The sequence below is a fragment of the Homo sapiens genome, chromosome 21, assembly GCF_000001405.40.
Source record: "Homo sapiens chromosome 21, GRCh38.p14 Primary Assembly".
Lineage (NCBI taxonomy): Eukaryota > Metazoa > Chordata > Mammalia > Primates > Hominidae > Homo > Homo sapiens.
Window position 1 is genome coordinate 30,534,875 of NC_000021.9, and position 7,748 is coordinate 30,542,622.

The 7,748-nt window shown below is 33.8% G+C and overlaps 1 protein-coding gene and 1 pseudogene across 1 annotated transcript; both read right to left on the bottom strand.

The window, feature by feature from the left end:
• Positions 2,304-2,534, bottom strand: KRTAP19-11P (keratin associated protein 19-11, pseudogene; annotated as a pseudogene).
• On the bottom strand, positions 6,661-6,990 carry KRTAP19-6 (keratin associated protein 19-6). The gene has a single exon (NM_181612.3). It carries the CDS (start codon positions 6,957-6,959, stop codon positions 6,783-6,785), a length of 177 nt encoding a protein of 58 aa, NP_853643.1. The 5' UTR covers positions 6,960-6,990; the 3' UTR covers positions 6,661-6,782.
• Between the last annotated feature and the right edge of the window lie 758 nt (positions 6,991-7,748).

Below are 7,748 nucleotides of genomic sequence, written 5' to 3' on the forward strand. Positions count from 1 at the left end.
ATATCTTGCTCAAAGGCCCAACACACAGATTTACCTGTTTCTTATTGAAAAGTCAAAAGATTAATTGAAAAATTCTTTGGAAGTGGGGAAGATTTAATTTTCATTGGATGTAAATATTTATTTTATTATTCCTGTGAGTATACATTTGGAGAAAGCTTGAAGAAGGCTTTCAGGGTGACTAGGTTTGTCTAAGAGGTGAGAAGAAAGAAGTGGAGGAAAGCACATATATACATTAAAGAGGCTGAAATCTCTATGGCAATGAACATTTGGGGAAAGATCTTAATTTGAATAGTCAGTTTAGGCAGATAGTAAAAATCACAAACCAGTTCTCTGAAATCAATTATAAGCTGCCTTGGGGTAATGCCTCGGCTTTTGTTGATGAGGTTGCTTGACTGTACACATTTATGAGAAGATATAGATTAAAATTACAGGTTCTCTAATGGATAGTTATAAATGACCCTCTAAATGTCAGTTTAAACGCAATCCATTCTAAATCAAAAACATCATTTTCTCCTTCCAAATCTCTTTTAGTTGTAGAAATACGTGCTTAGAATTGTTGAAAGAATTTTAAGACTGAAATCGAAAGTCTTATGTTGAATCCCCATTTCTATTCAATCACTTATAAATTATATAATCTGAACAAAGTAATATTAAACACAAAATATAGATTACTGTTATGGTTGAGTTGTGTGTCCTCTCTCAAAAAGATATGTTGAAATCATAATGCCCCAGAACATGTGAGTATGACCTTAGTTAGAAATAGAGTCCTTGCAAGCTTAATCAAATTGAGGTGAGGTCATTACAATGAGCCCTAATTCAATATGACTGGTGTCCTCATAAAAAAGGTAACTCAAACAAAGAGAGAAGAAGACATAGAGAAGTACAAGAACACCATGTAATCGCAAAGGCAGAGATTGAAGTTATATACCTGCACACCAGGAAGTACCAAAGATTCCCAGAAAACCACCAGAAGCTAGAAAGAGGCAAGGAAGAATTCTCCTCTTGGCTTCAGAGGGGGTATGGCCCTTATAGACACTTTGATCCCAGACTTTAAGCCTGCAGAACTGCGAGACAATACATTTCTCTTGTTTTAAGCTATCCTGTTAACGGAACTTTGTTGGCCCTAGGAAATTAATACAATAACCTGCTATGTGTCACGCATCATGATGTATAATACTTATGTATTTGCATACATATGTGGAGGACAGTAGGTTTATTTCGCAACATTTCTTAAAAATAAAATAAAATTATCAGGCGTAATCTTGAAAATATCAGTGAAATTAACAAACATGTTTTATATCACACAGTTAACAGTAAATAGAAAATACAATCTCAATCACTTTTGTGTCCAAAAATTTATATTTTCTCCACTATTCTAACTACTTTTTGGAGTAGTTTGAGGACTTAAAATACCTCTTTTTACTTTAGTTCCTATTTTGGAGCGTATTATAAAAATTAAAATAACTATCAATCTATAAGGCACCTTACAAAATATTTGAAAAATATTAGGTCAGAAATTTTAATTATCTCATTTTCTTCACTAGTTCAGTTTATTTAACAAATATTTACTGAGCTCATATTAGGTGCTACGCTCAGTTCTAGGAAACCATTCACTGTAGGGTAGCTTAACCTCAAAACCACGTGTACAGCGTTTCCCTTTAGTCTTTGGTTTTTCTTTAGTTCAATTAATCTTCACCCAACTATGTATAAATCTTCAGAGAAATAAAGAACAACAAAATATCTCGTTTTTAATCCATATTCTATTATGACTTGTGAAAAAGGAGAGAAAAATCACACACTTAACGTGTTATCCTATCCTATATAAATAGTCTAGGACAATTCTTCAAATCAGCACCCTCCCTTCTTTCTGAACTCTTGTTTACTTCAGCTTCCCTTGCCATCTCAGGTGTGATAATTAGAGGCTTTCTAATCGGCTCTGCAAAGAAAAGTTAGCTTTCTCAGCATAACTAAGAAAAAAATAACTTTTTTCTATAAGGATGATTTTTTGTTACAAAATACATGGAAAAATGTTTTAAAAACCAGAGGAGAACATAACTTTTAAGGATTATTTTTTTAAACAAATGAAAACACCTTTAATAAAAATATAACACGAAGCCCTCTTACAAGGTCATCCCAAAAAGAATAATCTCTAAGGCAAAATATTCAGCCTGTGTGGTAATGTTAAAATTAGTATACATTATTATGAAATAAATTTGGAGTGGACTTTGTCATTCAAAGAAAATAGCTTTCTTAAAAATTGGCACAGAAATGTCAGAAGTGACCCAATTTGTGAAATCTGCAATCATGTCATGGAATGAAGTGCTGTTGTTGATCTTGAGAAAATTAACAGTAGGGTGATACCTAGATTCCAATGTCCCAAAGCACCAAGGTAATTTTTCCTTTTCAATAGAATCCAGAGAATCCATATTCTCCATAGCATAATGTCTGTCAGAGCCATATGCATAGCCTCCATAGCCAGACCATAGTCCAAGCTATAGCCATAGTCCAGGCCCTGGTTGTAGTAGCAGCTCATGGTATCAAGAGTGGGGATTTTGTTTGACGATAAAGCTGTGTTTCGGAAGTGTAAATGACATCATGTGCCCAGGAACTCTTGCATACCTCAGAAAAGGGTGTGGTAACAAAAATAAACTTGAATAATCCTTAATCCATGACCTCAATGACATAAAAGACAATCTCGTTAATCTTTTTGACGTCTAATTGAGGGCCATTTGTCCAAATTCCAATAAAATGCACTGTGTCTATGTTGACAACAATGATTATGGTATCTTCAAAGAGCACACAGGAGGTGACTGCCATCTCTAAAATTCTTTAGCCAGGCATCATAGCATCTCATTACTCTTCAAAATAATTGATACACTCTTTACTGAATGAAGGCAATATCATAAGAAACTACAGCTTATTTGCCAGTAAAACTAAAGCAAGCTGGTGATACTTGTTCAAAATCCCAAAATAGGCCACTTTTCCAGTTTACTCTAAGTTTTTTTTAACATGTTTTTAACCAAAATTGAGCTCTTTAAAAGTGTGGCCATCATTATATATCTACTCTCTTCTTGAGAAATTGTGTTCTTGGCCAGGTGTGGTGGCTCACGCCTGTAATCCCAATACTTTGGGAGGCCCAGGCGGGCGGATCACGAGGTCAGGAGATCGAGACCATCCTGACTAACACGGTGAAACCTCGTCTCTACTAAAAATACAAAAAGTTAGCTGGGCATGGTGGTGGGTTCCTGTAGTCCCAGCTACTCGGGAGGCTGAGGCAGGAGAATGGCATGAACCTGGGAGGCAGAGCTTGCAGTGAGCCAAGATCGCGCCACTGCACTCTAGCCTGGGCGACAGAGTGAGACTCTGTCTCAAAAAAAAAAGAAATTGTATTATTTTTGCTCACAATACACTTAATTTATTAACATCTTCTCAAAGAATTAAATTTAGCATTAAATTTCCATATTTAATTGACTCATATCAGGGATATATGAGTTTCACAAAATTCCTCTTTTTGACACTGACCCTGAGTTTTCAAAATTATCTGCAAAGAAAAATAATTTTTTTTCTAACACAAGACTCTTTTTCTGATTCCTTAGAAAAATGTAACTGGAATGGTATGTTATTTTATCCTTGTGTGTTACTTGTCTGTGACCTATTGGATGTTTTAAGTGAAAGCAAATATAAATCAATGAAAAGGATTCAGTGTCACTAAGAATAGGTAGATTTTCTTTGCAGGTTTTCTACAGATGGAACCCCAGCTCTACGAGTCGTTTTATAAAAACATGTATATCATCCTTTGTCTTATCAACAAGCCTCTGAGTTTTTGCTGGAAAACATGATTTCCTTCATTTTAAAAATATGCTTTTCATCTATAGAATAAAAATAGAATTTGGAAGTAGAATTATGAAAGTTCATAATAGATTATAAAAGGCCAAGAGATTTTTTAAGGTTATATTAGCAAATAACTGAGGCTTTTGACTTATATAGCTTTGCAGTTAATTAAGTGTGTCTAGAGAGAATCTATCAAAAGTGAATTTTTATGAAACAGAAATATAATAGTTAAAATATTTTTGTTTGTAAAAATGGTTTGAAAATCAATTTGTCAGTGTTTTTCCCATTTTCAGCTTGTACTTTAACTTTGTCATTGAAGGTCCCAATCAGTCCTAATCAATAACTTCCTTGAATCCCAATATTCTATTATGTTATTGATGTTTTCTTTTTCTTTTAACAAATATTCATTGAACACCTGCTGTGTGTTTGGCATCATATTAATGCAAGGGATACCTAAAGATCCTGACTGCAAAACCCATACAATCGCATACAAAAACTAATAATCATATTACAATCTATAATCATTAACTAAAATGGGCACTAATAAGTCTGTTTTTTATTTCCCCAGTCTAGAAAATAAAGTTGGGATGACTCGCTGTTGTTCCAAACTAATTTTCTCAATAAGAAATTTCCATGTTATTTCACAATAATTTGACACACTTAACTATTGATTAAAAAAGTACATACATTCTTCAATATCTAAAGGGTTAGAGAATATGCTGTTTATTTTATAATATTTTATTCAAGGTGATTTCTCTACCTTTGTACTTGAAAGAAAATAGGCAGCAGTAGCATAAAGCCTGGTTGATGAATGAGAAATTTACTTGCCAGTTTTATTTTCAATCCTATAAATTAACTTTTTAAGACTACATAATTTGCAATTTTGCTTGCAACTCAATTATTTTAGCAAGCGTGTATATGTTAAATTAAGTATCAGAGAGTATATTTTAAATGTTTTCACCACCCTAAAAAATAACTATGTTAGATAGTAGATTTGTGAGTTAGCTTGGTGTAATCATTCCGCAATGTAAACATATAACAAAATATAACACTGTGCCCTCATAAACATATAAAGCTATTTGTCAATTAAAAATAAAACTTTAAAAATAAGTTTAGAAAGAATAATTAGCATTAGGCAGATGCTTCCAAAATGCTGTCAAATGACCATACCTATAGGCAAAAAAGGCAGTTAAACAACAACAAAAAATAATAACATATAAACAGAACAGTACCATTCCCATCATTATTAATCGCTTATTTGAAATAAACATAACATGAACTCTCTAGAGGAACATGGTACTATTTTAGTTTATTATTTTGTATTTAGATGTTATTTTTACATCAAATCTCCTCCAAATCATCTTCCAGGTTTATAACGTCTTGTGCTAACTCTTACATGACATAGAGTGGAAAGTACCTGAAAGCTACTACAAAAACATTGTTCACTGGCAAGATGGTAGGAGTAGAAATGTATGTCAAGAATTACTGAAATTTAAGAAATTTAAGAGACCTTAAGTACTATCTAGAATAGTTATTTTCAAGGAAATTTTGACGAGTAGTCAGCAGACCAATAGCAAAACTAATGAAAACTAATTATCTAAGTTATCCTCCAGAAAATTAAAAATTAAATTGGTAAAAATGTTGTCATGGGGTTTTTCTTTTCTTTTTTTTTCTTTTCTTTTCTTTTCTTTTTTCTTTTTTTAAACAGAGTTTCATTCTGTCACCCAAGCTGGAGTGTAGTGACATAATCTCGGCCCACTACAACTTCTGCCTCCCAGGTTCAAGCGATTCTCCCACCTCAGCCTCCCAAGTAGCTGGGACCACAGGCACGTGCCACCACACCCAGCCAATTTTTGTTTTTTTAGTAGAGACGGGGTTTCACCATGTTGACCAGGCTGGTCTCGAACTCCTGACCCTGGGTGATCCACCCGCCTCGGCCTCCCAAAGTGCTGGGGTTACAAGCATGAGCCAGCGTGCCCGGCCTCTCTCGGTGTTTTTAATTCAGACATCCCTCAGGTTTACTTTTGAGAAATAATATCTTTTGGGAAGCAAGGCTTGAACTCTACAGGTAGGAACACAGAAAGACAAGTAATTTAACTTGTCAAGGAGGTAGAGTAGATTCTCATATGTTCAATAGTTTAAAATTGATTATACATAAAGGACATTATACATTTGATAAGTCAGTGTTGGGTACATGCGAGCTTTGATAGCATTCTTTAGACCTTACGTATTATTACAAATATTATTTATATTAACTCAATGTTTTATTTAAAATTCGCTTTCATTGATTAACATAGAATTACTGTGCTTTGAGATAAACCTCAGAATACAAACACACTAATTGGAATGAAGATTGCAATAAGTTATTGTTTAAAACTAAGTCATAAAAATAATAGTGTACATAATCATATTCTAAAAACAAAATCACACACAAAACCACTGAAAACAGATAAAAAGTAAAGACAGATGAAAGTACACAGTGATTTTGTCCATCTTATTCTTTTATATCTTCAGGACTTAGAATGGTGCCCAAATTTGGAGACACACAATGAATATATGTTGAATAAAATATATTATTGAGGCAAAACTGTTGAAATAAAAACACCAATTCAGAGGAAAGAAGACAAACAGCTTGATTGAAGTCTCATCAATGCATTTGAAATGTACTAAAATGAATTGATAAAGCCATGTTTGCTATTCAAGTTAAACGTGTTTATTTAAAACTATTTTAAAATACATGTCACAACAGATGTCAGTGACTAAATAATAATAGGTGAAACCCTGATTCAATGTAATGATTCCAGATTCTTCCATAAAAACTGATGGCTAGTTCCTTCTGGAGCATGAAGCCAAAAAATGGTAGGTATTTTCTCTACATTGAGAAAAGTGTTCGCCTTGCTGAAGCATACGGGCAAGATCTTGGAGTTAGAGTATGAGAATCAGCAAGTTTTTTAGTAGAATCCAGAGAATCCATATCCTTCACGGCATGATGGGCGGCAGCAGCCATATCTATAGCCTCCATAGCCAGAGCCATATCTGTAGCCTCCACAGCCACAGCCATAGCCCAGACCACCAAAGCCTCCACAGCCATATCCCAGGCCTCTGTAGTAGCTGCCATAGTATCTCATGGTGTCAGGGACTAGAGATTCAGTTCAATGCTAATGATGAGTTTCCTGAGTGTAGGTGTCTCTAACTTCTCAGAATGATTTTATACTCTAAGTAGTGGGTGTCATGAACAACAATGACAGGTGATCTTATTTCCACATAACAGAATAATTTTAAGTCTAACAATTGTTTATTTTTTTTCTTTTCTTATGTAACAAAGGGTCCAAACTATTATTTAAAGACTTTTAGTCTTTAGTTTGCATTCCTAAGAACAAAATATTTTGAAGATGAAAAATGATTATAGCCACTTCAAAGGCCAGGCTGGTGTTGTAATTAAAATGGTCTAATCGGGTTGATAGCTTCCAGTAACGCTGTAATTACATAACCTCATATTGCTTTTCTTTTTAATTTGCAGTCCATCGTCTTGGTTACTTCATTCCCAGAACCCAAGGACTTCTCTTCATGGTAGTCAGGGCATAGTCACAAAGTCATTAGTGATTTCCAGTAGTCAAATTTAGAGGAAACCTTGGTTTTTGACTCATTTGAACTTTAATTGACCTTTGACATTGCTAACCTTCCATCCATTCATTCTTTTGTAAAGCTTTCTTGCCTTAATTTCTATGAGAAACCTTCAATTAGCTTCCTCTGCCAATTTTTTGTTAGGCTTCTTCCCAATTTTTTATTCATCCATTAACTTCAAAAGTGTACCTTTTCCTCTGCATACACTTTTCCCATGAAGTTCCATTAAATATTATTTTTCTTTTTTCAAATTTTATTTTTAAGAATACATAGTAGAGTATATATATCTATGG